Here is a 27,216-nt window from a genome sequence, read left to right on the forward strand (position 1 = left end):
ATGCTGGCTTTGGGGCGGTCAAGGCAGGGGCGTGTCAGCTCAGGATGAAGAGGCAGGAAGCACAGACGGGCCGCGACTGGCTTCCTGACTGCGCCGCGCCTTGGGAAAGTCCCCGCCCTCCAAAGCTCTCGATTGGGATCACCTTGGGACTCGGCTTCCTTGTGAACCGTTTCCAGCGATTCAGCCCCATCCTTTTCTTTGAGAAGGACCTTCCCTGAGGCGCCAGGAGCATTTTCCAAGTTCGAGCCCGAACCTCGGCCAAAGCTGCAGCAACCGCCCTTCTGCCCGGGCTGCCTCCGGGTCACGCTGGGAATTGTAGTTCCTCCGCCCGCAAGGAAAGCAGGCATAGGACACCGTCGAACCACCACTCCCACGAGGCTCTGCGCAGGCCGCTCGCGTTGGCTCAGTTACCATAGCAACGGCAGAGGTCCCTCGCTCTTGCCGTCATCAAGGCTCGCTTGAATGTCGGCTTTGCTTTTTTTCTGGCGCCCAGTGATGACGCAGTACTCCCTGATTGGCTCTGCACTGGAGGCAGTGATTTTGGGGCAGAGAATTTTGCAACACGTGGTAGTGAACTGTGAGGAGTTTGAGGGGTCTGAAGACTGAAAGAGTCGAATGGTTTGTTGGCAGGTAAGTGCCCCTTTGCCCTGCTGGTGTGGGAGCTGCTAGAGATGGATGAGTCACGTCGCGTCCAGACGCTTCCTGGTTGTGTTGCAGTAACGGTGATTGTACTCCCGCCATGTCTCCTCTGCTTCCCTTTTCAGGGTGTCCTGGTGGATTGGTTTCTGTAAGTTCAGATTCTCATAAATCGTGTGAGCGTCGCCGACACCTCTGAGATAAAAGGGCCCCTTTCGACTAGCCTCTGCTGAAAGGTAGAGTTTTCAGGAAGTTTTTATTCCGAACTGCCCATGGGAGGGTGGGACCGTCTTCAATCTCTGAGCCAGGTGCCTAGGGAGGTCTGGGGCCATGGAGATGGCCCATGGAGCAAAGATAAATCCAGGCTTATTGGCTTAGCCGAGGTGTTTCCAGAGACAGCCCATTTAGGGGTGATAAATGGGCTTATAAAGCAGAGTAAAGATTTAGAACAGGAGTTTTGAATTCAACTACTTTGTGGCTATATGACCCTAGGCAACTTGTTTAATAACTCAGAGACCCTGTTTTCTCATGCAAAATGGGGACGATAATACCTGAATCACTGGAGTGTTGTAATGATTAAAAATAAATGTATGTGAAGCATTCTGCCAGGAAATGTAAACTAAAGTTGATTTGAAATTGGTGAAAATGAAGTTAGGGAAGCTATGCCCTCGGACTGTTGCAGCGATCCTAGGACCAGCTCTGTAACTGGTCTGTCTGAAAGGCGGTTGAATAAATTGTGCTCATACAAACTATGCAGTACCACGAAGTAGTTTTTTTCAAAAGGGTAAGTTAGCTTTATGTCTCTTCTTCAGGAAAGACGTCTAATGTTTATTCTTGAGAGAAAAGCAAATTGCAGAGAAGTGCATATATTATAGTATAATATGTTTCCATTTTTGTAAAAGCAAACCCTGACCAAAACACTCCCTCCCATATGCAAGTATGTTTAAATATTTGTATGAGAATGGAGAAAGATTGCAGAGACTGGGAGGATGGATTAGAGGCGGGAGGGAGAAAGGGAAAAGAAGAAGAACACTATAGCAAAATGGAAACTAAGATTATAATGTGCTTGTGTACCAGATGGAACTTCTAATAAGCTCCCAGCCTATTAGAGTACAGCGCTGAAAACTAGACTTCAATAATTAAAGTCCTTGCTCTGCCACTTACCAGCTGGGGATTTTATCAGCCTCAGTTTATCATACATAAAATGCAGATAATAATGGTATCTATATTATGCATTTGATCTGAGGATTAATGGAGTGAATATATAAAGAACAGTGCTTAATACATAGTAAATACCCGATAAATGTTAGTTGCTATTATTGTCTTTCTATATGTGAAATTAATTTAACTTTTATTGTGATTACTGACATTTGGAATTCTACCATCTTATTTTGTGTTTTCTATTTCTTTTTTTTGGTCTCTTTTCCTTTCTTGCCTTTTATTAGGTTAATTCATTTTTCTTTATCTTCCCACTTCCCTCTCCAGTGAGTTTGGAAATTATGCATTCTGTCATTAATCGTTTAACAGTTACTTCTGAATTTTTAACACACATACTCAACAAAGTTTAACGTCGTCGTTATCTCTTTCCCCCTACCAAATGGTGTAACGATTTCCGAATGCCTTGGAAAAATCTTCATTTACTGTTTTCTAGAATTGTAGCGTTCTTCATTTCTTTTTTTTGAGACGGCATCTTGCTTTGTTACCCAGGCTGGACTGCAGTGGCATGATTTTGGCTCACTGCAACCTCTGCCTCCTGGGTTCAAGTGATTCTCCTGTCTCAGCCTCCGGAGTAGCTGGTATTACAGGCATGTGCTGCTACACCTGGCTGATTTTTGTGTTTTTAGTAGAGACGGTTTCACCATGTTGGCCTGGCTGGTCTCGAACTCCTGACCTTAGGTGTTCCTCCCACTTCGGACTCCCAGAGTGCTGGGATTACAGGCGTGAGCCACCGTGCCCGGCCAGCGTTCTTCATTTCTGTGTGTCATTTCTGAGTCAGCTCAATGCACCACATTGTTTAAAAGTCCTTCAGTCATTTTTCTATGCATATACTATGATTATAGAAAGTGTACATGTGTGGGAGAGAGGGGTAAGAGATGCTGATGTGTACTTATATATACAGCTTTCCTTTCACAAAAAATATGACCATCTTTTGCCTTAGGAAATTTTGGACATTTCCATGGCAGTATGTAGAGAATCCAGCTAGGAAACATTTAAAAATCCATTCTCTCCTGATAAATGAAGAGTGGAGGTGGTGGGTCGCACTGGAAGTGTTAGGACAGGTACGGTGTTGCCAGAAGTGCAGGGAATCTTTGTTAGTCCTTGTAAAGGTACAGATCCACTGACAGCCTGTCATTTGTCTTTACACTCTTAAGGGTTTTTCCTTAAGACTTTCTCAGGAATGCCATCTGTGACACCAGAAATATTAGAGCAGACCCACAACAAGTGAAAAGGGAAGGGATCATGATAAAGGCAAATAAAAACTAGTTAGTATTTTGGAGACTGTTGATCTGTTTCTTGAACTTTCCTTGGCAAAAAAGGAAATAATCACTCTCAAAGCATGTTTTTAAAAATATGTACATGAATATGTGTATGTGTGTGTACTATTTTATTACTTCATAGTAACAATTTATTGTATTTGAGCCTCTAGAAAAGAAGTGTAATTATAAAAAACATTTACCATAACCTGAACAATGAATGAAGAAAGGAAGACTTGGTTCTTCTAGCTCTGGACAAAATTCCATTTTTTTAAAAAAAATATTGATTTCCAGCTGAAGTATAGTACATCTCTGATGTTTTCCTCAGATTTTAAAATATTTGCATTCATCCCCACAAAACAGAATCACTGACCATGGCAGTTTATTTTAATACTTTTTCTTAAACCCAGTCATCTGCTTTTGCTTCCTTATTTTTCTCTTCGTTAATATGTTGAGTTACTGTGATTAGGGTGGAACTTTTATGAAGCCCCAAACAACAGAAGTGAGTATGTAGCACCAAAATCGTTCACTGTAGAGAAAGCCAAGTAGGTATTTCTCTCCAGCTGGCTGAGTGGGTTCAGTATTCTAAGCTGAGGATTTTGAATTTCATCTTTAAAGTTATTTGGGATTAAAGCATTATATCACAGGAGAGCCCATCTCTGCCTCTAAGAACATGGTGGCCAATGTCCTTTAGAGTTACAAAGGACCTCTAATTACAGACTTTCAGTTAAGAATCAAGAAAGTTGTTTCTTCAGTTGAGGAAAGAGTGGGAAGGGGAGATGAGAGGGAAGGGGAGATGAGAAAGAAGAGAGAAGATGCCTTCAGGACTGAGTGGATGATTAATCACACTTGAGACTCGTTTGTTAAAAGATGGGAACTTCTAGAATATGTTCATTCTTTCCTTACACAAGGATGAAACTAAGAAGTCTTTGAGAGAAAGGTAAGTCTTGGAAGCCAATGGTCTGGGCTTCCAGGTCTGGCTGCCTTTATACTCTTAGAGAATCCTTGTGTCCAACCTTGGAGAATCTGAGATTGGTTGTTTGGTCATCTTCGCTTATCTGTGGGGAATATGTTCCAAGACCCCTTGTGGATGCTGGAAACTGCAAATGGTTCCAAACCCCAGATAGATAGGTAGGTAGGTAGGTAGGTAGGTAGATAGATAGATAGATAGATAGATAGATAGATAGATAGATAGATAGATAAGATAGATTAGATAGATAGATTAGATAGATCCAAACCCTAAATAGATAGACAGACAATAGACAGACAGTATGATGTTTCCTATCTATACATACCTATAATAAAGTTTAATTTATTAATTAGGCACAGTAGTAGATGTTAGTCACCTCGGCAAACAGTCTTTTTTCTTTTCCTAGTTGGAGAACTTTAACCTTTTCTCATAAGGGATCACTTTATGGCTTCCCTTTGGCATATCCGTATTGCCAGCATCACAACTCTTGTGCTGTGGGGCCAGTCGTAAGTAAAATAAGGGTAACTTGAACATAAGCACTGCAATACAGTGACGGTTGATCTGATCAATGTGACAGCTCCTAAGTAACTAAGGGGCGAGTGGCGTCTACAGTGTGAAGATGCTGGGCAAAGGGATGATTCACGTCCTGGGTGGAACAGAGCAAAATGGTGAGAGATTTCATTATGCTACTCAGAATGGCATGCAATTTCAAACTTATGTTTATTTCAGGAATTTTCCGTTTAATATGTTTGGACCTCGGATGTCCATGGGTAACTGAAACTGGAAAGCAGAACTGTGAATGGGGGTACTGTGTTAAGAAAACCGATGGGTTTCCTTTTAGTTGCCTTTATGTACCTTCTTCTTCCCATTCTGATTCTATGCTTGCATGGCATATTTGGCTTCATGTATTGCATTCTATAGGGCAAACATGCCACTGACTGATCCACTTTGCTTTTTTCGATTCTCAGAGTAAATAATTGTGCATACTGATTTTATTGTTTAGTCTCTGAGGTTGATAGGTTTGAGCCTGACCCTGAGTGATGGCTCTGTGCTGGGTATATAGAAAAGATCAGGCTCAGCTTACCAGGCAGAAGCCTAAATCCCTTACCAGTGGCCAGCCAGCCCTCCAAGCAGTACAAGACTGTAAGGCACTGGAGGGAGCAGCAGCAGGTGGCTAATCTTTGAGCCCCTGTGTAATTCTGTTGGCACAGGTTAAAGAACTTGACAGCTGCTTTCTTTTATCTCTTTTCTTTCTCTTTCTTTTCTTCTTCTTTGTTTTTAAGACAGGATCTCCCTCTGTTGCCCAGGCTGGAGTGCCAGTGGCGTGATCATGGCTCACTGCAGTCTCTGCCTCCCTGGCTTAAGGGATCTTCCTACCTCAGATTCCCAAGTAGCTAGGACTACAGGTGCATGCCACCATTCCTGGCTAGTTTTTGTATTTTTTGTAGAGACAGGGTTTCATTGTGTTGCCCAGGCTGCTCTTGAACTCCTGGGCTCAAGCGATCTGCCCACCTTGGCCTCCCAAACTGCTGGAATTACAGGCGTGAGCCAATGTGCCCAACCAAAGCCACTTTCTTTTTATGACTTTCCACAGTGTGTTCTAGGGGAAAAAAACAAAAAGATGTTTCATAGATTTCACATATACTTTTGAAAAATCTTGTTATTTTCAGTGGCCATGGTATGCTGCAGGATATTCTAAAAAAAAAAAAAAAAAAATCTGAATGCATCTCCTAGCATGTTAAATTTACTCTCACATAAAAGCCATAATTGGATGGGTGCAGTGGCTCACGCCTGTAATCCCAACACTTTGGGAGGTCAAGGCAGGAGGATCACTTGAGCGCAGGAGTTTGAGACCAGCCTGGGCAACGTAGTGAGACTCCATCTCTCCAAAAAAAGTTTTTTAATTAGTTAGGTGCAGTGGTTGGGCACCTGTGGTCTCAGCTACTTAGGAGGCTGAGGTGGGAAGGTTACTTGAGCCTGGGATGTCAAGGCTACAGTAAGCCGTGATTACACCACTGCACTCCAGCCTGGGCAATAGAGTGAGACCTTGTCTCAAAAAAAAAAAAAAAAAAAAAAAGAATAAAAAGAATACAGGCCTTTTGCAGGAGGCCCAGGTTCTAGACAAGCCTATGACTAAGCAGGCCTAGTCTCAGACTGATTACAATAAAATGGCAGAAGGGGTGATGTGGTGATGAGGAATTCCCAGGTAGGGGTCTCTGGTAGTAATGGAACTCTATAAACTATTTTCAGTATTTCTAAAGTCTAATGGTAATTATACAATACTGGGATATTAAGCACAGTTTTACTAAAGCAATGGGGTTTGTTGTTTTTACCTGGAATTCAGTTAACACAACATGGAAAAGCAGATTATCTCATGCTTGTCAGAAGCTTTGGTTGTCAGTCATTTGTGTCATTTATTAATAAACTGGAGAAACGAGAGCATAAATTTGATGAGGAGAGATAATAAAAGTAACATTCTAGAATCCTATACTTCATTTTTCAAACGTATTAGTTTTACCCAATGAAGGTTCTTCGTGCCTTTATATGAATTTAATTTAAAAAACACTGTTCATGTGTGTACATTTAAACTCTTTACATACTTTACACAGCTCAGATGAGAGAGTATTTTTGGAGTAAGATAGAATTTTTGGAGGAGCCAGCAAGTTCTTGTCTCTAGCCCTTTCTGAAATAGCTTCGGGCAACACAGTTTCTTCCGTTCTCAGACGTATGTGATAGTAGGAAATGCGTAAGTTACTGCAGCATTTAAAAATTCTGGTCCGTTTAATTTTCATTAGTTCTTATTTGTGTTTCAAGAAATCTAGTGTTCCATATTGGTTGATTTCAATATTCAGTCAGAACAACAGGTATTGATTCATGAAGCTTTGAAGTACATTTCTCATCTTTGTGCTTCCCCCTGCTTCAATTCTCCAGAGCTACTTAGATTACAAAAGTCTGTCTTAAATTTCACATTAGAACTCTGTTGGTTTAAAATATAAAATACATTTTTATCACTTGAAATCAGTATTATCTGATAAATAAATAAAGATTACAATTCTTTTATATTTTCTACAGTATGCTTTTATTAGCTTATAAGTATAGTTTTACAGTTTTCTTAAATGAACCTTCTTGTTTTAGCAGTTTTAATGTGTAACAATAGGGTATGTAAAAAAATAGCTTTTATACTATTTATTAAAATATAACCTTTTTTTCCTTACCAGTCTCCATTTATGTGGGTTCTAATGACACTTATTTGTATGTTTCTATCTTAGTGATAACTTGAAATAATGATCTCATAGTTATAGAAAATTGACCAGGCTTTCATCAAACACTTATATTAGTTTTTATAATTTGTGTTTAGCATAAAATCTCTTCTTAGACCATATAGAAAGTAGTTATTCTTTTTTTTTAAGAAAGTAGTTATTCTTATGTCTAAGATTCTAATGACAAAGATGGCTATTTTATTTAAATTTAAGAATTTATGTCTCCTAAAAAAAAGTAATGTTTTTATTCTTGAATATATTTAACTAATGATAGATATGTCTTATTTATTTGGTGACATTTTAACAATGGTTGACTTTCAGAGTATGGTATGCTATAATGCTTAAGAAAATGGGATCTGGCCGGGCACAGTGGCTCATGCTTGTTACCTCAGCACTTTGGGAGGCTGAGGTGGGCGGATCACCTGAGGTCAGGAGTTCGAGACCAGCCTGGCCAACATGGTGAAACCCCATTTCTACTACAAATACAAAAGTCATCTGGGCATGGCGGCACACACCTGTAATCTCAACTACTTGGGAGGCTGAGGCAGGAGAATCTCTTGAACCCGAGAAGCAGAGGTTACAGTGAGCTGAGATCGCTTCACTGCACTCCAGCCTGGGTGACAGAGCGAGATTCTGTGTCCAAAAAAAAATGAAAGAGAGAAAAGAAAAGAAAATTGGATCCTCTCTGATAGCTCATTTGTCAACTAATAAAACTGGGCCTGGCCCAGTTTTTAAGAATTCCAGAAGATATGGTACTTGCTGTAGAGATGTAATGAAGTATTTGTAAAATGTTGGTATGTCTGGTGACATTTAGCCGATGATGTGTGTGCTTATCAAGTTCTGTAGTGCATTTTAAAAGTGGAACCCAGTATTTTGCTTCACTGAATACTAAATCATTTAGGAGCACCCAACAAGTAATTGATAATGTTTTCTGATTTTTTTTCCCTGTATATCTATAGAAGTTAGAAAGTGTATCTTTATTTTTTTCTTTAAACACATATTAGTCTTTCCCAGTTATAAAAGTAATGACACTTTGCTTATGGATTGCGTGTATGCTCCACACAGTTTCTCACTTCTGTTTGGATACCATATAAGAACAAATTGGGAAATAATCCGACCTCAGAGATCTGTTTATGTTTTGACATTTATTTTTCCATATATTTTCATAAACACCAGGATGCTCTTTTCTTCACTTAACAGCATTATTAGGAAAAAATTGCTATATTGCTTAGCCTTCCCTCAAATTGGAGAAAGAAAAAAGTGGATTATATCAATAATCAGTATGGCCTAAGCAGTGTTACTGTTCTCTGTATACATTTTCAAGGCTGAGAGAGCCTTGGCTTCATGGCATTCTTTCCATGATTAGTCTTTCTAATTCTGTTCTTTCATTTGTTTGGTTTTCATCAGCTCAGACAAAAATTCCATGACTAAATTTAAAATTAGTTGATGCCAATATGTGGTTCTGGGACCTTAGGGAAGATGTCTTATTCTCTTTATGTCTTTTCCCATTCCCCCGTTCCTGATATCTATGAAAATATTTAGACTGGAAGCAGTAATAAGCATGCTATCATTCATTTTCCTGAAGATTTTTTTTTTTTGCAAAATGCTTGGCCTCTAGGTGTTGTGAAGCTCCTTCTATACTTAATGCTCTTTTCTTGACAGGACCTAGAAGAATCCCTTAGGATGAAGCTGAGTCTTACCAAGGTAGTTAATGGCTGTCGCCTAGGAAAAATAAAAAACCTGGGCAAAACAGGGGACCACACCATGGATATTCCAGGCTGCCTTCTGTATACCAAGACTGGCTCCGCCCCACACCTCACCCATCACACGCTGCATAATATCCACGGGGTTCCTGCCATGGCTCAGCTTACGCTGTCATCCCTGTAAGTGTTAGAACCAATGATTCAAGTATCAACTGTGGCAGCAGCTTAGTTACCTTAGGTGCAAAAAAGAGAAATATTTTTTTTTGTTCATATATATAAATTGTCGATTTTCATAATGAAATCAGAAGAGAGGTTTCAAATATTATACATCTTCTGGCCCTAATCTGGAAGCCACAGGCCAGACCTATATGTTAGATCTGCTTCACTTTTCCTCCAAACCTACAGTCCCATACTGCCATGTCGCCACTGCTCCCAGGGGTGACAGGGCGGGGAATGTTCTGTGAGAGCTGCATTTGGAGTTCAGGAGCTGTTATCATGCACCAGCCTCAAAGTTTTTTCTGCCTTTGCACATATACTTGCTAATACTACTTTATGGAAACAGAACTAAAGTTAGATCATTTTGTGTAATGTATATACTGACTTTATACTTAATTGAAAAGCCTACTATATGACCAATTAACATAATAGTCTGCAGCGTTGTGTTAACAACAGAGATTTTAAAGGGGCAAGAGAAGGAAGAAAATTCAAGTATTCTGAAGGAGTTGATCTTTGCCAGTTTCATGTCTCACAGAACCACTAGCAAGTTGAAGGCCTTCGTTCTGGCTAATGAACCTAGCCTAATTAGTTAGAACTCTTGAATAATGGTGTAATTCAAGACAGCATTTACCATGATGTAACTTATTTGGGTGAGGAGAAGAGGGCTCCAGTTGTACAGAGTATTTACAGAATGACACATTATTATGTTATGTATTTTTCTGTTTTGCTTACAGAGCAGAACATCATGAAGTCTTGACAGAATATAAAGAAGGAGTTGGAAAGTTTATAGGTAAAAATTAAGTTACTTATATGTGCCTTGTGATGTGTTAATTTGGAGTTTGGAGGTGCTGTTACCTCTTTGATCTTTCATTCATATGTTTGTTTATTCATAAATTTAATAAGTATTATTTGAACATCTAAGAGCCAGGCATTGGCAAGTCAAGATTGAATAGGAAACAGTTGCTGCTCTCATGGAATTTGGAGCCTAGCTGGGATAAAGATAGAGAATTCTAGTAAAAATTGTGGTTACTGCTTTACAGGATTAGGGATATGTATGGATATCATGACAGGCCAGAGGGCAGAGCATATAACCTGCTCTAGGGTATATGTGCAAGGTGGTCAGAATAAAAAACGGATTCTTTTTTTTGTTTACGCCTCCATAAAAACCCAGAGAAAGGATTCTTGAGAGAGAAGTTGAGGGGCATTTTAGCTGGGTCAAGGAAGAGTAAAAGTTACCCAGGTTAGGAGTGGGAGCCCAGACAGGTGTGGGGCAGATGCTGCAGGCACTGAGTATCTGACTCAGCGGTGAGAACTTGCATGGGGCATTCGTGAGCTCCAAAGTAGTCTCATCATGCTTGAACCTCAAACATGCAGGGGAGGATGAAGCGTTTGTATATGGCTGTATTCTGATATGTTAATATTATCCTTTATTCCAGAAATAGGATTTTATATGCAGATGTATGCATCTATTTATTTATAGGAAAAGCTTAGCAGTGACAGCTAGAACATCAGTTCTTCTATACACCGCTTTCTCCTAACGCTTTTTCTGGTATCTAGGACTCACTTGAATGAAAATCCTGTTTCCATTGGTTATTCAGTCTTCTGCTTCTGAGAGCAGCTGCATGATGTCCTGTTGGTTATCACAAAGCCCTGTATTTTAGTAGAGGAATTTATGGAATATCATTCTCCTTGACCTGAGCCCAATTTTAATAACCAGCTTTAAAGTATACAAGCATATAATTAAATGAAAATAGCTAATGTAGGCTTTCTAGAGATAATTGTAATAATTGAAATTATGGAAAATAAAGTGAAAAAACTGCAGAGGTTTTACACTTGCTTTTTTTTCACTGGAATCCTGTTTTATTTTCCTTAACGAAAATGTGGGCTAGCATATGATATTTAGGCACATGGTTTACTAAACTTTTTTTGCATTTTTTAAAAAATGATTGTCTTTTTGACTGAAGAACTTAAGAAACTGTCATCGTGAATCAATGAAACTTACTAAGAATGGGATCCATTTGCAGCATCCTATAGCTTCTCTAAAATTCTGCCCCTAGGGACCCATGATATTATTGAGATTTATTATTAGTGAGATCACTTTGTGGGCATATCATTTTATCTTTGCGGTAGCTAGTTCCCCTTGGATGGTACCTGGAATAAGCATATTTGATAGTAAATTCTTTAAGTAAAGTCAAATGAGATCAACATGTCACTAAATACTTTCATTGTATATTGTGCTTTAAGATACATCTTTCCTTTGTAGCAGCTCAGTACCTATTTATTAGACGTGAAGCTTTATATTTCTTTCTTTAGATTAGTAATCTTTTTATACATATTGATAGGCCTTCTCTAATTCCAAGTTCAGATACAACCTATTGACAGTGTTTAGAGTTGCTTTATTCAGCAGTACACATTGCGAAGCTGCTCCCTGCTATAATACAGTGTCATTGTTGATGTAAGCACTTTCAAGGGTTCTTTTTTGTGTTTATACAGGCATGCCAGAATCACTCTTGTACTGCTCCCTGCACGATCCAGTCAGCCCCTGCCCGGCTGGTTATGTAACAAACAAGGTGTGTTTTCAGAAGGGTCTCCAAGGCTGCAGCTTTGTCCCAGGAAGTCAGCCTATGGTGTATCCCTCAGATGCTCAGATCCCACTGTCTGGGATGATCCCTTATACCTTTTCCTTATTTCGATAATTATAGTGGGATGGGATGGTTTATAAGACTTAGAGTAGGGCTGCCTAAGGATGAGGTTAAGATGAAGAACACTGTATCCTCAGCATTTTCATTGTTGCAAAAAAATTTGAGGGTAGAGGAGGGTCAAATACATGCCAAAAAAAGAAATTGCTATGATAGGGGAAAACGATAGTCTTTCGGCGCCATGCTTTGTTGGATTTTTAACAACTTCAGGAAGAGTGGGGAAAGTTGCTGATGAGTATTATCACATGTATAACTATATATAGTAGAATCTCAATATAATATTGTCTGCTGGGTCTACAGCCAGAGATTTTGTCTAGTGAAGAACAGTATCAAAAGCACCTCATTAAAAGTGTTAGGCTGAGAGGTGGCCCCATTGGCATTATCCCTGAGGACAGCATTCTGGCAAAGCTTCAGTGTGTACTGCTACTTTACAAACGCAAATACTTTTCCTGCACTCACTTTATTAATGTCAGCAATATTTATTAATTGTGCCCCTCAGAACACTGTTTTTACTCATTCTCCTGTTTTAAGTTTCTATTTATTTTGTAGTTTGAATTCTAGAGAAAATACTTTGGCTGGGTATGGTGGCTCATGCATGTAATCCCAGCACTTTGGTAGGCCAAGGTGGGTAGATGGCTTGAGCCTCAGGAGTTCGAGATCAGCCTGTCCAACATGGCAAAACCCCATCTCTACTACAGATACAAAAATTAGCCAGGTGTGGTGGCACACGCCTATAATCCCAGCTACTTGGGAGGTGGAGGCAAGAGAATCACTTGAACCTGGGAGGCAGAGGTGGCAGTGAGCCAAAGTCGCACCAGTGCATTGCATTCTAGCCTGGGTGATAGAGCGAGACTCTGTCTCAAAAAAAAAAAAAAATACTTTGACTTCCATTTTCTACCCAAATTGTAAGGGAGAGAGGAATCATTTAACCAGTAATTCTGATGCCTTAGTATAAAATAAAACGACTATATGTTGGCCTGCCATCTATGTCCTTGTTGATCTGAGAAGAGGGATCTGTAGGGTAACCAAAGATAGAATTTTTTTTTCCCTTTTTTTAACTTTTATTTTTGTTTCGGGGGTACGTGTAAACATTGTTACATAGGTAAATTTGTGTCATGGGGGTTTGTTGTACAGATTATTTCATCACTGAGGTATTAAGCCTAGTACCCAATAGTTACCTTTTATCCTTCTCTCCCTCCTTTCACCCTTCACTCACAAGTAGACCCCAGTGTCTGTTGTTCCCTTCTTTGTGTCCATGTGTTCTCATCATTTAGCCCCCACTTATAAGTGAGAACATGTGGTATTTGATTTTCTGTTCCTGCATTTGTTTGCTAGGGACAATGGCCTCCAGTTCCATCTATGTTCCTGCAAAAGACGTGACCTCATTCTTTTTTATGGCTGTATAATATCCCATGGTATATATGTACCACATTTTCTTTATCCAATCTATCATTGATGGACATTTAGGTTGATTGCATGTCTTTGCTATTGTGAATAGTGCTGCAATGTACATTTGCATGCATGTGTCCTTATGGCGGAATGATTTATATTGCTCTGGGTATATGCCCAGTAACGGGATTGCTGGGTTGAATGGTAGTTTTGCTTTTAGCTCAAAGATAGAATATTACTAATATATACTCTCTTGAACTAGGAGATTTAAGTCTTTAATTCTATATCTAACTCAGTCTAGTAAACACTAGATATTAAAAATGTATAGGGCCCTAGACTGTGCTTTTGGGATACATACATGAATTGGGATACTCTAGTCAGACAAATAAAGAATGGTGTAATAAGTGCTATCATTTCTATAAAGAAATAAATACAAATTGATGTAAGAGCATAGAGGAGTGAGTGATCGATTATGTCCAGGAGGTTTGGAGATCAGATTAATATGTGAACTCAGTGTCTCAATGGACACGTAGTATTTTGCCAGGCAAAGAAGTAGAAGTTCCAGCACCTAGAAATAATAAATACTTGAGGTGATGGATACTTAAATACTCTGACATGATTATTACACTTGCCCTATATGTAAGATGTCTCACATGTACCCCATAACATTATACAAATATGTATCAATAAAAAAAAGAAAAAGAAATACGGAACTGTCAGTCAAAAGGAACAGTGTGATCAAAGTCTGTGGTATATTCAGGAACAGCAAGGGTTAGGTAGGGGTGGGGCAGGTGGGATAGGGGAGAGCAGAAGATGTTAGAAAAGTATAACAAAGAATTCTTGGTGGGTAGCTCAAAAGTTGTCTTATATGACCACTGAAGGATTATCTGTAAGCTATAAGATCCTATTACCCACCATGTCTGGATATTGAATTGTCACCATCTCTGCAGTTGTAAAGAAGAATTATTGCTTTATCATTTTAATTATTTTATTTTTATTTGCATTTTACTCTTGCTAATTCCTCATCATTTTGCTCCATGGCAGTCTGTGTCTGTGTGGAGTGTTGCAGGACGAGTGGAAATGACTGTTTCCAAGTTCATGGCAATTCAGAAGGCCCTTCAGCCAGACTGGTTCCAGTGCCTCTCCGATGGAGAAGTATCTTGTAAGGAAGCAACTTCCATAAAAAGGGTCAGAAAGTCTGTTGACCGATCACTTCTTTTCTTGGATAACTGTCTGCGGCTGCAGGAAGAGTCAGAGGTAAGGCTGTGCCACTAACCACTCCTTTCTCTTGACACTCTTGCCTCCCTTACATTCTGTGATACCACCTTTTCTGTTCTTCCTCCTACTGCTGTGCTCCTCACTTCTTTGTCTATTTTACTCTCTATTTTTATTTTCTTTTTGAACCTTAAGTATTATTGTTCTCTAGGTTTCTATCTTAGGTTTCTCTTTTCATCCCTTTCTATATGTTGTCCCTGGGCAGCCTTCCCTTAGTTTTAATTGCTGAATAATTCTTAAATTGTATATACTATCAAGATTATTCTACTTAGCTTCAGAATTATGTAATTACTGGGCTATAGGTAGGTTATGTCACTAGAATATCCCTCAAACTCAGAAGTGACCGGATTCATCATTTTATCTCCACAAACCTGTTCTTGCTTTTGCTCTTCCTCAATACTTTATCTCCATTTATGGCATCCACCAAGCTCCTCAGCCCAGAAATTTGAGCTTTTCTTTTTCTTTTTTGAGTCTCACTCTTGCCCAGGCTGGAGTGCAGTGGTGCTATCTCAGCTCGCTGTAACCTCTGCCTCCCAGGTTCAAGGGATTCTGCAGCCTCAGCCTCCCGTATAGCTGATATTACAGGCATGCACCATCACACCCGGCTAATTTTTGTATTTTTAGTAGAGACCGGGTTTCACCATGTTAGCCAGGCTGGTCTTGAACTTTTGACCTTAGATGATCTGCCCGCCTCTGCCTCCCAAAGTGCTGGGATTACAGGCTTGAGCCACTGTGCCTGGCTAAGAAATTTGAGCTTTTCAAGACTCCTTTTTTTCATTCACATTTAATATCCCACTGTTCACTCTTCCTTGATTCCATTTGCCTAAATATGTCTAGAATCTTCCCCTCCTTATTGCCACCTTAAGCCGTAACTGCATCATCTCTTACGTATGTAATTACCTTTGAATTCTTCTCTCTGCCTCCATTCTCATTTTTATCCAATCCATCTTTCAGCCCTGTTATCCAAAAGATCTTTGTAAAGCACAAACAAGAGCTCCTTGCCCACTTCCCTAAAAGAATTTAATGACTCTCCACTTCAACTCTTACATGGCATGGACAGCCTGCTGTGATGTGGCCTCTACCTACTCCTCCAGCTCACTGTGGGCTACTTTTTCCTGTGACTTGCACTCTGACCTTTCTGAGTTGCTTGGAATTCCTTGAGGCATTAGCTTGTTTCATTCTGTACACGGATTTCCTTCTGGACTGTTTCTTGTTTCTGCTTTTCTTATCTCTAGCTATATTCCCTCTTTTGTTTCCACATGAGGCTCATTTCATTCCATGTATCATTCATTTTTTTTTTCTTTTCTTTTGAGACAGTCTCACTCTATTGCTCAGCCTATCAGGCTAGAGTGCAGTGGGGCAGTCTTGGCTCACTGCAACCTCCAACTCCAGGTTCAAGCAATTCTCCTGCCTCAGCCTCCAAGTAGCTGGGATTACAGGCATGCGCCACCGTGCCTGGCTAATTTTTGTATTTTTAGCTGAGACGAGGTTTCACGATGTTGGTCAGACTGGTCTTGAACTCCTGATCTCAGGTGATCCACCCACCTTGGCCTCCCGAAGTGCCATGTGTCATTCTGTAGAACTGGTTCCTGATAGTTCCAGGGAATTCAATTCATTCTTTGCTACCCCTTTAATTAGTATGTAGCTATATTTTAGCCCCAATCATATTGTATTTCAATGATTTCTTTATGCATTTGTCTTCATTAAACTGTGGCCTCTTTAAGCTCAATTTCTGTGTATAAGTTGGGTATCTTCATCATGCAGCAGAATGCCTTCCCTGTCTTATTCACTGGTTCCTCTTATTCTGAATGCCCTTCAATATTGAAGCTCTCCAAGATTCGGTTGTTGGCTTTCTTTTCTTCTCCATATATTACCTGGGTTAGGGATGGCGAATGGGTTTCATCTGACATATTGTAAGCCCTCAGTAAATGTTTGCTGATGGTGAATGGTTATGATGGGGTGAAGATGAAGCTGTAGTGGTAAATCAGGGATACTGATAGCAGAGTTAATTAAGTGGGAAAAGGATTCAGAGAACAGTAGAGATGAGGGAACAGAAGATAGTGATCAGAGGAGAGAATTTTAATATTTGAGATCATGTATGTGGAGTAATCCTGAGCGATGATCACATCCCACTATGGCAAGCGCATTGAGTTTGAGGAACATCATTATATTGAATTTAGCAATAAAAATATAATTTGGCTAATAAAGTTAATATAAATGAAATAATTAGAGGAAACATAGTTATTCTGAATAGAATTCACAGTATATGTAACAAGAGTTTGGTGTGGGGACATTGCTGTGTGTCTGGGCAGTTAGTGTTGGTGGCTTGCTAGTAATTGTTTTGAGCCAGTCATTATCCTTGTAGGACTAGTAATGTTTGGGTAAGTAGAAAGCAGGACAGCGAGTGTGACAAAGATGATTATTAGAAAGGTCAGATGAGCCTCAAGTCCCTCATCTGTGTTGTTGCAGTCAGCCTCATCATTTCATATTACTTCTGCATATTTGTGGGGGTTTTTTTGTTTTGTTTTGTTTGTTTTTTTGAGATGGAGTTTTGTTCTTGTCGCCCAGGCTGGAGTGCAGCGGTGCGATCTCAGCTCACTGCAACCTCTGCCTCCCAGGTTCAAGCGATTCTCCTGTGTCAGCTTCCTCAGTAGCTAAGACTACAGGCACACGCCACCACACCCGGCTAATTTCTGTATTTTTTGGTAGAGATGGGGTTTCACTGTGTTGGCCAGGCTGGTCTTGAACCCCTGACCTTTTCATTCGCCTGCCTCAGCCTCCCCGAATGCTGGGATTATAGATGTGAGTCACCGCGCCCGGCCTTACTTATGCATATTTATTGGTCAAACGTGTAGTCCCTCTCCATACCCTTTATTATTGTCTTGACATGATTATTAATAGTGCCCCCCCATTCTTCCATTTTAGATAATAAATTATATGATCGTGCTTCTTACACCCAGGAAAGGGAGTTTCCCGAATAGTCATGCTAGTCGTATAAGCAGGCAGGCCTATGTAACTCTCTGCTTTGTGTTTCTGCATACATCTTTTCCCATGATTCCCTCCCTGTCTTATTGACTGGCTCCTCTTATTCTGAATGCCCTTCAATATTGAAGCTCTCCAAGATTCGGTTTTTGGCTTTCTTTTCTTCTCCATATATTACCTGGGTTAGGGATGGCGAATGGTTTCAACCGAGGTGGTCGGGTGCAGCAAGAAGAGAGTCATCTGTTAGTCACATCTGCTGTGGAATCAGGAGTAGAGAGTGGTAGCATCATGCCAAGTGTCTGCCATTCTAGCCTGGGCAATCATGTTTGTATCACACATAGCCTTATCTTTAGGTTCATTTAGGTTCAGTGGCTGAATTAAGATTGCCATTTGGACATCCTGCTGATTCCTCAAATTCAGAACACACAGAACAGAGTAATCATCTTGCTTCATCCACTGTTTTTCTAGGAGTCCCTGCCTTTTGCTCTTATCACCATCTACCTGTACTTGCAAAACAGGAGCCAGGAGTCATTTGAGACTTTGTCTTTATCCTCTCCTTGGACAACTAATCAGTCAAGTTATGTTGATCCTACTTCCTGATAGGTTTCAAGTTTTATCTTTCCTCTTCATCCACACTGCCACTGCCTTAGTCCGGATCATCTCATCTTTCACCTGGATCATTAAAGTTGTCTGCTATTCCATTCTTTAATCGTACTCACCCTTAATTTATTTTTCACACGGCAGCCAAAGTGTTCTTTCTAGAGGAATAGTCTGATTATGTCCCTCCTGCTTAAACTAAAGAGTGAGATTCTCTCTTCACAGTGTTCCAGGCCTCCTCTCCATCCCTTTCTTCTACTGGAGAGCCATTGTTGATTTGTGTATTTTCTTGCAAAACTTATTTTTTGCAATTACATACACATAATTAATACATAGATATACATGGCTGTATTACATCAGTATGATCATATATTCAGCAATTTGCTTGTTTTTCATTTAGCAATATCCTGAAACTCTTTCTCTATAAATGCATATATTGCTATTATCTACTGCATTCTTTTTAAACAGCTGCGTAGGAAGCCATACTGTGTATATATTATGATCTACGTAAGCCTTTACTCTATGGATAAACATTTAGGTTGTTTCCAGTTTTTCATTATTCTAAACATCTTTGTAAATAAACCTTGGCACATGTGAATGAGTATAGGAGAGATTGTTAGAAGTGGAATTTTAGGATCCATAGATAAAAGCTGGACATTTCAATAAGTGCTGTCCACTTTCCTTCCTAAGACGTTGAAATGATTTTTACTCTGTGTTTATCAGGTTATGTACGTACCATTTCCCTTACAGTTTCACCTCTACTATGTTGTTATCTATGTTTTAACCTTTTTGTTATTATATGGGCAAAAATGGTATCTCGTTGTTTCCAATTTTGCATTACCTTACTAACAAGGTTTAGTAGTTCTTCATACGTGTATAGGGCATTCACATTTATTTGTTTGAATTTCATATTTACGTATTGTACCTAGATTTCTATGAGGTTGTCATTCATTTCTTTAGAGTATTGGTTGGAGCTCATTTTATGCTGTAGATATTTAAATATTCCTCCAAAGAGTAAGTTCTCCTTTGCCTTTGTTAATGGTATACTTTAGTAGAGAAGTTTTACTGATTTTTTTTTTTTTTTTTTTTTTGAGACAGACCCTTGCCCTGTCATCTAGGCTGGAGTGCAGTGGCGCAATCTCCACTCAGCGCAGCCTCCTCCTCCTCGGCTCAAGCGATTCTCCCACCTCAGCCTCCCGAGTAACTGGGACTACAGGTGCATGCTGCCACACCCGGCTGATTTTTGTATTTTTAGTAGAGATGGGGTTTCACAGTGTTGGCCAGGCTGGTCTTGAACTCCTGACCTCAAGTGATCCACCTGCCTCGGCCTCCTGCTGGGATTACAGACATGAGCCACCATGCCTGGCAAGTTTTTGTACTCAAACTTGTCAACCTTTTCCTGTAAGCTTTAGCTTGTTTAGGAAGGCATTCCTTACCCCAAGATTGTAAAAATACTCAATATATTCTTCTAAAACTTGTATAACCATATTTTTTATGTTTAGCTATTAGGTCCATTGAATTTGTTTTTAAAATGGATGGTGTGTAGTAGTGGTCTTTATTTTATTGGTTTGTGAGTAGATAGTCAGTTGTCTCAACAGTTTCTAAGTTCCTAAAGTTATCTCTAGCTAAGAGACTTGGAGGTAGTCTAAAGCAGGCCTGGATAGTCATTTCACAAATTAAAACTCTTATTTTGTCCTTTTCCTCTTGAACCTGTTTAGTGTACATTTTATTTATTTACTTATTTTTCTTGAAACATGGTCTCACTCTCTTACCCTGGATGGAATGCAGTGGCACAGTTTCAGCTTACTGCAACCTTCGCCTCCCGGGCTCAAGCCACCCTCCCACCTCAGCCTCCCGAATAGATGGGACTACAGGCACAAGCCACCGTGCCCAGCTAATTTTGTTTTTTTATTTTTTGTAGAGACCAGGTGTCGCTATGTTGCCCAGGCTGGTCTTGAAATCCTGGGCTCAAGTGATCCTCCTGCCTCGGCTTCCCAAAGTGCTGGGATTACAGGCCTGAGCCACCACACCTGATCTAATTTAATCTAAGCCAGAACAAGACTGCATATGTTGAATGCATCTTTTTCCTCAGTCTTTTCTTACCTGATTGGTAAAGTATGTTTTTCAAAGTATGTTCCTCAGAGCCTTAAAGGTTCTTAGGGAGGAGGGAGCACCATCCCCTTTAATGCTTCAACTACAGCAGCTTCACTGAGGTCTCTTCTATACATTGGACTTCCATGTAAGGTTCATTTAAACAAAGGTCTCATACTGAAAATGGTTAAAAACATATCATCCTTCTTACCTCAGGTTCTTCAGAAGAGTGTGATCATTGGAGTGATTGAAGGTGGAGATGTGATGGAAGAGAGGCTGAGGTCAGCACGAGAGACAGCCAAGCGGCCTGTGGGTGGCTTCCTTCTGGATGGTTTTCAAGGAAATCCAACAACCCTGGAGGCTAGACTACGCTTGCTGTCATCAGTCACTGCAGAGCTGCCGGAGGACAAGCCAAGGCCAGTGTTCGGTTAGGACACAGGCTGGCCTCAAGGGATGCAGGGAAGGAGTGCTGGCCGATTGTATATTAAATAGTGTCTGTGCATAGGCATGCCTTTGATGTTTTGTTTATGTCCTTTCTGGGCTGAGTCTGCTGAGGTGCTGAGGCAGACTGTAAGGGGAGTTTCCATCAAGGCTGTCCTGGCCTTGATTTCAGAATGTAGAGTAGAGGATAATTGCCATTTGAATTATGTTATTTGATCCTCCTAAGTGAGAGCAAGTATTATACTGTTTCCCCTCATTCTTGTGCCAATTACAAATATTGTTGTTATAATATGGTACCTGGAGACCAAGTGTAAAGTCACATGGAATGCTGGTTTAAATTGAGGAAAGTTGAGGACAGATCTGGGATGACTAGTGAGAAGATGAGCTCCACCAACAAGAACTTAAGAAGCTCTTAGATTTGAGGCTGGTAGTGAGTGGTGTCAATTTTTGAAATTGAGGGGACTGACAACACTAGTAGGATTGGTTCTTATGTTTCCATAAATTGCAGGATTCACCTTGTGCTGATAAGAAAAGACGATCTGCAAGATTTGAAGCTACAAATTCTGAGTTTCTGAATGCAGCTGATATCGTATTAGGCTACCCACATTTTTTTTAATGGTTTGTTATCTTAATGTGAATATTCATGCTTTTTTCCTGCATGTATATTAAGAAGTTTGGTTGTGGGGTGCTGCTCCATAGTCTCTAGAGCTGTTGGATAGTATATAATATGTGTAATTTTACTACTTTTTTTTTTTTTTTTTTTGAGACGGAGTTTTGCTCTTGTTGCCCAGGCTGGAGTTCAATGGCATGATCTTGGCTCACTGCAACCTCCACCTCCCGGGTTCAAGTGATTCTCCTGCCTCAGCCTCCTGAGTAGCTGGGATTACAGGCATGCGCCACCATGCCTGGCTAGTTTTGTATTTTTAGTGGAGACGGGGTTTCTCCTTGTTGGTCAGGCTGGTCTCGAACTCCCAACCTCAGGTGATCCGCCTGCCTTGGCCCCCCAAAGTGCTGGGATTACAGGCGCGATTTTACTACTTTTTTAAAGATCCAAGTACAACTTGGAGGAAAGCACGTGAATCTTACATACAGCTCAATTAATTTTCACATGTCTACACTTGTGTAAACACTACCCAGAACAAGGTATTTCCATCACCTTAGCCAGCCTTTGATCCCCAATTTTAACCTAGTTCTTTTGTGTTCATTGCTCCCTCTCCTGTACTTGTTTCACTCTGGTGCACATAACACTTCAGCACCAGTATTTCTAGACATTTTCTGGACTTCTTCATGTTAAGTGCTCACAGATGTCTGTTACTGAATTTGAAAGCTGGATTGTTTTTCTTTCTATAAGTGTGTAGAAATGCCAGCTTCAGTTGGATAGGAGTTCTAAAACATTACATCACTTGAAGGAAACTGTAGTCAGGAAAACCAGCATATATTTGTAAGAGTTCTGCTTATTTAATATTACATGAGCCTTTTTTTTTTTTTTGCATTTCTGTGCCAGTTCATAGAAAGGGGCTATAGGTAGTAAAACAAACATAAAAAAGAGCAGCAGCCAGCCAGCCCTGATTTAGTACATCTCCACATCTGTTTTCATGGAGTGGCAAAACCTGGCCGAGTGCCATTAATAGTCTCAGAATGCCTTACCTATTACAAGTTGAGTATCCTTTATCCAAAATGCTAGGGACCAGAAGTGCTTGAGATTTTGGATTTTTTCAGATCCTGGAATATTTGCAGAGTACGTACTGGTTGGGCATCCCTAATTTGAAAGTCCAAAATCCAAAATTCTCCAGTGAGCATTTCCTTTCAGTGTCATGTTGGTGCTCAAAAAGTTTCAGATTTTGGAGCATTTTGGATTTCAGATTTTCGGATTAAGGATGCTCAACCTGTACCTTGGAAACCACCATCTTATTCCACAGTGCAGACTTTTTATTAATGGAGAAAATATAAAGAAAGCCAACTAGATTCTTAGATCCTATGGCCAGAGGTGAAATCCTGACAGCGAGAGTTGCTTTGTAAATTAACTTATGAGGGATATAGTGGATTAAAATGTCTTTATTGCACCAATTATGAAAAATTATAGGCAAAATACAGTTAAAACAAGCAAAATATTTCAGCAAGAAATAAAGCACACAGCTTTGCACTCCTAAAAAATCTATATAGTGTATAGAAGATAGGCTATAAAGGGCTATAAAGTTTAGTTTATGACCAGGGAGGTTGTTCAGAAGGATGATAGTTGAGAGGAAGCTAACCTTTATTGAACTTCTCTCTGGGATCAGAAACTATACTATGGGCTGGGCGTGGTGGCTCACACCTGTAATCCCAGCACTTTGGGAGGCCAAGGTGGGCGGATCACCTGAGGTCAGGAGTTCAAGACCAGCCTGGCCAACATGGTGAAACCCCATCTCTACTAAAAATATAAAAATTGGCTGGGCGTGGTGGCGGGCGCCTATAATCCCAGCTGCTAGGGAGGCTGAGGCAGGAGAATTACTCCCGGAAGGTGCAGGTTGCAGTGAGTCGAGTTTGCGCCATTGCACTCCAGCCTGGGCAACAAGAGTAAGACTCCCTCTCAAAAAAAAAAAAGAAACTATGTGCTTTTTCAAATATCTCATTAATCCTCACAACAATTCTGTGGGGGTATATATTATTTGCTCTTGTTTTTAAGATTAGATAACTAAAACTCAGAGAAGTTAAGTAATCTTTCCAAAGTGACACAGCAGATACATAAATGACAGAGCTAGGATTCAAGCCCCAGTTTTTCTGGCTCCAAAGCCATATGTTCTTTCTGCTGCATGTTGCTGTCCACTGCCTGCCACTCTAACCATGATTGGTGTTTTTCATTATTACTATTTTTTTAGTGCCTTGTTCATTAAAAGGACTTTCTGATTTCCTTCCTTGCATTGTCCTCATGTCACTGTTCTTATTCTTACTTTTACAGGCTCATATCTGGTGTTAGTCGGCCAGATGAGGTGCTCGAGTGTATTGAAAGAGGAGTGGACTTATTTGAGAGTTTTTTCCCTTATCAAGTAACAGAGCGGGGATGTGCCCTGACTTTCAGTTTTGATTACCAGCCGAATCCTGAAGAGACACGTAAGTCTTTTGAAGTTTATCTCTTATCCTTAAGTTTCTTCCATTTCCTGTTAATTTTTGGCTTGAGTCACAAGACAGAAATATGTATATATAAAGCCAGTCTTTTACAAAACTACATCTCTGTTTCTTATCTGTGTGCTCTGGCATGTTGGCACACAAATCCAGGTACTTAATACTATACATGTAGCTCATCAATATTAGGATGTGATTTTATAGTGAAAAGAACCAAGAAAAACAAAACCTCCTCTGTTAACAGCCTGAAAAAAGAACATTCAGAGTGAATTGTGATGAAAATCATAAGAAAACCTTTGAACTGCTTGGTAAAAGTTAACTTGTTTTCTCACAAAAGAGTTTTTGTCTTTGCTTTGCAAACCCTATGCTATTAAAATACAGGGAGACTCATGATCCTCTGATCCTAGTGTTACTTCTTGCATTTTTTTTTTAATACACCAGGCTTTGAAAGCTATTTTCCTTTGCTAATGTTGCTTTGAAGGACTGCCATTTTCTTTTATTATTTAGTTATCCAGAAGTTAAGAAAGTCAGTTTCGGATTCTAACACTTACCTGGAGGTAGAAAAGGAGCTAGGATACAGACTTTGGGCTGGAGTTGCTTGAAGTAGGTTTTCAGGAGAGTGTCGCCTGCCCAGTCTTCCCTCTGGCCTTCAGAAATGACCTTTCCTTTCCTTTTCCTGCTGTCCTTGGAACTTTTCCTTAACCACATCAACCTTACATTTGAATAGGACCAGAAACTTCCTTAAAGGTTCATTTTATTCCTCACAGGTAACTAAAATTTCATTCAGATGTTATACTTTTATGAAGCAACTTAACCATTAATCTAAATGGAATTACTCCTGGAAACAAAATAAATCAAGTTGATCAAATTCTTAAATATATAGGAGGTCAATTTTACTGTCCTTTTAGACAGACCAGAATATAATGTATGTGGATAGGTATACCATTAACACTATAAATTTTCACATCTTCATTTACAAACTGAATTATTTCCACCAGAACAGAGGTAACTGTTAGTCATTCAGTACCAGGAATATGCAAAGCTCTAAAAAGAACCTGATTTGAGTTCTCTGTAAAGAACAAGATCATTTTTGGCCAGAGAAAGCCAAATTTCTTCATGATTAGGAAAAAGGAAATAGTTTGAATGTTTAAACAAAGTATTATTAACTCTGTGTGTGTAGTAAATTAAAGTCCTTTGCCAGTTACATAGTGAAAATTCCAAAGAAATTACTTGGCAGCAGTTCTCCCAAATGACAAGAGTTTTCTGAAGTGTCAGGGCTTAAAAAAAATTCTTTTTCAGAAATAGGGTCTCACTCTGTTGCCCAGGCTGGAGTGTAGTGGTGTGATTATGGCTCACTGCAGCCTTGAACTCCTGAAAAAAGAACATTCAGAGTGAGTTGTGATGAAAATTATAAGAAAACCTTTGAACTGCTTGGTAAAGTTTAATTTGTTTAACTTTAATGGGCACAAGCCATCCTCCCACCTCAGCCTCCCGAGTAGCTGGGACTACAGGTGCATGCCACCATGCTGGGCTAATTTTTAAATTTTTTGCAAAGACAGGATCTTGCTGTGTTGCCCAGGCTGGTTGTGCACTCCTGACCTCAGGCGATCCTCCTGCCTTAGCCTCCCAAAGTGCTGGGATTACAGGCATGAGCCACTGCGGCCAGCTGAGAGCTTCATTATGGTTTCCCACATCAGCATGCAAATTTATGGGAACAAAATTATAACAGCTCTGTGCCCAGTGCTCAGGTTGCTTCTCTTATACCTTTGACCTTGATAAAATTACCCTCTTAAGACCACCTGTCTTTCTCCTGGGACCAACACTGAGATTTGTTATCATTTGTTCCCAAAATACCCCTTAACTACTTGTCCCTGTTCCAGGCAGTTGGCTTTTTGTAGAGTAGCTGGTGTTTCTTTTGCTGTGCAAAGAATGTTTCTTCTTAAAGCAGAGAGTTGAAGGGAACAATTCAGGTTGCCATTTAATTCTGTGTAGTCTGGGTTCCCTAGAGGGCCAGTGTCTCCATATAGAATACATACATTAAAACCATGTTCTACTTCAATCTATTTGGAATATAGGTAGTTCAAAGCCAAGTATATTTGCATGTACATTATGATAAGGGATAGTGATAACCCCACCACACACACACACACACACACACACACACACACACACACACACACACACGCAACCAACAGTTAACTTTTGGTTTATTTATTTTGCCCAGGCTGGTGGTGTACTCCTGACCTCAGGCAATTCTCCTGCCTTAGCTTCCCAAAGTTTTGGGATTATAGGCATGAGCCATCATGCCTGGCCACCAATGTTTTTAAATTATTTCTTGATGATACGATTATATGTTATATACTTGTAACTATAATTTGCTTAGATATTATTGAATCTCTAAATTGTTTTGGTGTTGTAGATAAGAGGACGGTGACAGTCTTGGAGCATATTGCTGTTTTCCTTTTCTTGTGTGATTTCCTTAGGATAAATTCTCAGGAGTGAAATTACAGAGTCAAAGATCATGAAATAATAACTAAAATAAAATGTTTCCAATGGCCACTTCTTATCTGATCATCATTCAAGCCTTTTTATTGGTTTGTCCTTCAGTACTACAACAAAATGGAACACAAGAAGAAATAAAATGTATGGATCAAATAAAGAAAATTGAAACAACTGGTTGCAACCAAGAAATAACATCATTTGAAATTAATCTGAAGGAAAAAAAGTAAGAAATTTTTAAAAGTTTGGATTTTGCTTTCTGACTTCTGAATTTTAGTCTGTGTTAAAAGTTTATGGGACAATTCTCAATTTATGATTTCATAAAATATTAATAGTTGGGTATTATTTAGGCCTTCTCAAATTCGATTTCAAAAAAACTCTTTATTTTCTTCAGATGAATTTGTAGACTTCGTCTTGTCAGAAGACTGGAGCCAGGTAATGATTGCTTTAGAAAAGCTGACAGAAAGATTAAACCAAATCCATTGTTTGGCGTCTTGTATTCCTTTAGAGCATAATAAGGAGTTCAAGATAAAACAACAAAGTTTTAAATTGTAGGGTGCCTAAGCCATCTTTGTTAGATACAGGCTGTAAATCTTACGTAAGATATTTATCTCTATAAAGAACAAATTAAGATACAGATTGAATTGAATATCCCTTCTTCAGAATGCTTGGAACCAGAAGTGTTTCAGATTTCTTTTCTTTGTTGTTGTTGTTGTTGCTGTTGTTGTTGTTGCTGTTGCTGCTGCTGTTGTTGTTGTTGTTGTTGTTGTTGTTGTTGTTGTGTTTTAGAACATTTGCATTATACTTACCTGGCTGAACATCCCTCATCTGAAATCTGAAATCCTCCAATGAGCAGTTCCTTTGAGCATCATGTTAGTGCTC

General features: G+C 39.7%; 2 protein-coding genes across 16 annotated transcripts in view, besides 2 other annotated features; one reads left to right on the plus strand and one right to left on the minus strand.

The window, feature by feature from the left end:
* The window catches only part of CCDC191 (coiled-coil domain containing 191), a 92,477-nt gene extending 92,098 nt beyond the window's left edge, over positions 1 to 379 (minus strand). For 5 of the 8 annotated variants that reach the window (XM_011513052.3, NM_001353767.2, XM_011513054.3 and 2 more), the window contains 1 exon segment: positions 143 to 379. In XM_011513052.3, coding sequence (XP_011511354.1) covers positions 143 to 232 — 90 coding nt within the window. In that variant the 5' untranslated portion in view covers positions 233 to 379. 8 annotated transcript variants of the gene reach the window in all.
* Positions 34 to 443: an enhancer, noted in NCBI's record as "active region_20268". NCBI's record gives its function as "activates an Ori minimal core promoter by ATAC-STARR-seq in GM12878 lymphoblastoid cells {active_cell/tissue: GM12878}" and the evidence as "EXISTENCE:reporter gene assay evidence [ECO:0000049][PMID:35858748]".
* QTRT2 (queuine tRNA-ribosyltransferase accessory subunit 2) overlaps positions 503 to 27,216 on the plus strand; it is a 31,686-nt gene continuing 4,972 nt past the window's right edge. The window contains exons 1-9 of one of the 8 annotated variants that reach the window (NM_024638.4): positions 503 to 630; positions 765 to 872; positions 9,003 to 9,223; positions 9,994 to 10,049; positions 11,753 to 11,829; positions 14,392 to 14,604; positions 20,509 to 20,708; positions 23,672 to 23,823; positions 26,443 to 26,560. In NM_024638.4, coding sequence (NP_078914.1) covers positions 9,024 to 9,223; positions 9,994 to 10,049; positions 11,753 to 11,829; positions 14,392 to 14,604; positions 20,509 to 20,708; positions 23,672 to 23,823; positions 26,443 to 26,560 — 1,016 coding nt within the window. In that variant the 5' untranslated portion in view covers positions 503 to 630; positions 765 to 872; positions 9,003 to 9,023. Of the gene's footprint in view, positions 631 to 764; positions 873 to 8,996; positions 9,224 to 9,993; positions 10,050 to 11,752; positions 11,830 to 14,391; positions 14,605 to 20,508; positions 20,709 to 23,671; positions 23,824 to 26,318; positions 26,561 to 27,216 lie in introns of those variants that run through there. The other 7 variants (NM_001256835.2, XM_047448934.1, NM_001256837.2 and 4 more) reach the window with 7 other exon arrangements.
* Positions 2,552 to 3,051: an enhancer, noted in NCBI's record as "H3K4me1 hESC enhancer chr3:113777633-113778132 (GRCh37/hg19 assembly coordinates)". NCBI's record gives its function as "activates a minimal SCP1, AML or CMV promoter by ChIP-STARR-seq in primed H9 embryonic stem cells {active_cell/tissue: H9 hESC(primed)}" and the evidence as "EXISTENCE:reporter gene assay evidence [ECO:0000049][PMID:30033119]".

The sequence above is a fragment of the Homo sapiens genome, chromosome 3 (genome assembly GCF_000001405.40).
Source record: "Homo sapiens chromosome 3, GRCh38.p14 Primary Assembly".
Classification (NCBI taxonomy): domain Eukaryota; kingdom Metazoa; phylum Chordata; class Mammalia; order Primates; family Hominidae; genus Homo; species Homo sapiens.